The following is a 3186-nucleotide window of genomic DNA, read 5'->3' on the forward strand; positions in this document are numbered from 1 at the left end:
ATATCTCTATCTATGCCTCTCTCTCTTTTCCTCCCTCCCTCTCTCTCTCTCTATCTCTTTCTCTCTCTCTCTCCCTCTCTCTCTCACACACACACACACACACACACACACACACACACACACACATATACACATACACACATACTGGAATATTATTCAGCCTTTAAATAGAGGAAAAATCTGCCATTTGTGACAACAAAGGTTAAACTGGAGGACATTATGCTAAGTGCAGCCAGTTAGACACAGAAAGGCAAGTTTTGGATGATGTCACTTAGATGTAGAATCTTAAAAAGTTAAACTCATAAAAGCAGAGTGGAAAATTGGTTACCAGGAGCTGGAGAGTCGGGGGATGGCGAGATGTTGGTCAAAGGTTGCAAAGTTCAGTTATGCAGGATGAATGAGGACTAGAGTTCTATTGCACAGCATGCAAACTATAATTAATGTATTGTAGACTTGAAATTTATTAAGATAACAGATCTAAATGTTCCTATCATAAAAAATAAAACTGGTAACTCTGGGAGATGATGGACTGTGGTAATCACTTCACAATGTATATGTACATCAACACATTACATTGTACATCATAAATACATACAATTTTTATTTGTCAATTTTACCTAAAATTTACCTTTCAAAATTCACAAAATGAGTAAAACAGAAATTTGAATATTTTAAATTTCAAGTTTTTTTAAAGTTAATAGCATTCATACTTCTCAAGTTATTGAAGATTAAAACTCTACTAACAGCCGGGCATGGTGGCTCATGCCTGTAATCCCAGTACTTTGGGAGGCTGAGGCAGGTGGATCACCTGAGTTTGAGACCAGCCTAGACAACGTGGTGAAACCCCACCTCTACTAAAAATACCAAAAATAGCCAGGTGTGGTGGGGCATGCCTGTAATCCCAGCTACTCAAGAGGTTGAGGCAGGAGAATCACTTGAACCCAGGAGGCAGAGGTTGCAGTAAGCCAAGATTGCACCACTGCACCCCAGCCTGGGCGACAGAGTGAGACTCCATCTCAAAACAAACAAACAAACAAACAAACAAACAAACAACTCCACTAAGACTTTTGGGACAACCTGTACCTACCTGACCTGCCTTTCCATCTTTAATGCTCTTCTGTGCTCCCCAGCCCCACTTCAATTGCGTACTGGACAAAGTCATGACTGCCAAGTAGGGAACCCCAGGATCTCCAGGATCTGGCATCTAACCACATCTCCAACCCTACCTCCTAGAACTCTTTGCCTCTACTCTCCCTCCACTGCCATTGGAGCCCCACAGATTCTGAGTTGCTTATTGAATCTGCATCTTTGCCAGTGCTATGCTTTTTAACAAAACGCAGGCTCCCTGTTCCTTCCATCCTCTTCTTTGCAAGTTTCAACTCACATATCTCTTCCTTCAAATGAGCCTTCCCTAAAAAACAATCTTCCCTACCCTTCCAGCTGTGCTCCCTCAGGATCCTGTGCACGTGTCTGTCCTGGGCTTAACTCACAATGTCACTGCCCTATGATTCTGTCTTTATGAGAAAGTTTCTCCTTCTCCACTGTGAGATTTCAAGAAACGGGCTCAGAAGTGAGAGAATAAGTGAAGGAGGAAAAAAAAAAAAAAGACTCATGAATTTAAGAAGCAAACATCAAGGGTCTTAGTAATTGCTATTATTTGTGTCTTATAATTGGCTTGACCAACTGAGTAGCTGGTCACCGTTCTTCCATTTATTAGTTGTGACATTGGGAAAACCCTCTTACTTCTCAGTGTGTTTCTTGTCTCTCAAATAACAAAACATTCAGCCCCTGTTGGCATGGTAAATTTGGATCTGCAATCAAATGAAATTAAGGATGTGAATATGCTTTCACATCTAAGCTCTACACTTGCAAGATGTTTTTACTGCAAGCTTCTGAATCACAGTATAAAAACATGAAATTTGGAAACAGAAAAGGCTAGGAGATAACAAAGTTGAAATACTTCATTTTCAATGGCAAATACATGGGATCAACCCAAATGCCCATCAGTGTTAGGCTAGATAAAGAAAATGTGGTACATATACACCATGGAATACTATGCAGCCATAAAGAAGAACTAGATCATGTCCTTTTCAGAAATGTAGATTTCTGAAATCTGGAGCTGGAGGCCATTTTCCTTAGCAAACTCATGCAGGAACAGAAAACCAAATACCACGTGTTCTCACTTATAAGTGGGAGGTAAATGATGAGAACACATGGATACATAGAAGGGAACAACACACACTGGGGGCTACCTGAGGGTGGAGGGTTGGGGGAGGCAGAGGATCAGGAAAAATAACTAATGGGTAGTAGGCTTAACACCTGGGTGATAAAATAATCTGTACAACAAACTCCCATGACACAAAGTTTACCTATGTAATAAACCTGCACATGTACCCTGAACTTAAAAAGCAAAAAGAAATCCTTCATTTTATTAATAAGGAAATGAAATATGAGTGAAAAGAGACTTATCCAAGATCACGCAATGAGGCAGATTTAGAGCTTTCTCAAACCTGGGGCTACTGGCTCTTTCCAAAACCTCATTCTTATTTTTTGTCTTATTTTTCTTCTTTCTTTCTTTTTTTACTTTCTTATTCTTTCTTCAGCACAGCCCTTCAGCTCTTTCTTTCCCCCAAATAGAAGAATCACTCTTTTTCCCACCAAATAGAAGAATAGCCGTAGTTAAGTGCCGTTGATCTTTGTTGACTGAAAATCTAACTTTGTGCATGCCTACACCATGTCCCCAGCTGCCGTGTACTTGTTAGCATGGATACTTACTGGGCCAAGAGGCACACAGGAAGCCCCTGAAAGTATTTACTCCAACCAGACCCAGGGAAAAATGAAACTGGGTTGTCTTTTAGGGATATTGTCTTTCAGGGACTAAGTTACCATGGCAAGCAGAGATCTACTGCCTTGGCTTACAAACTGTTCCCCTGTGAGGTCTTCCACAGGCAAATTGCTCTATAAATCTATGTTGTTTAATTTTGAGTAAAGGGATAGAAAGGTTCCCTACGAGAAAATGCCGGGGAAAGAAAGAAACCCAAAACTGAGTTTTCCAAAAGACTAGATTTAAATCTCCTTAGAACATTGTTACTTCTTCGTTGCTCAAAGAGTGTCTTTGTAAGTCAGGTCAGCGGCGGCTGTCACACGCTGTGGGGGAAGATGTGTGGCATTTCATCAGAGGGGCAG

This window comes from Homo sapiens, chromosome 20 (assembly GCF_000001405.40).
Source record: "Homo sapiens chromosome 20, GRCh38.p14 Primary Assembly".
NCBI classification, from domain to species: Eukaryota; Metazoa; Chordata; class Mammalia; order Primates; family Hominidae; genus Homo; species Homo sapiens.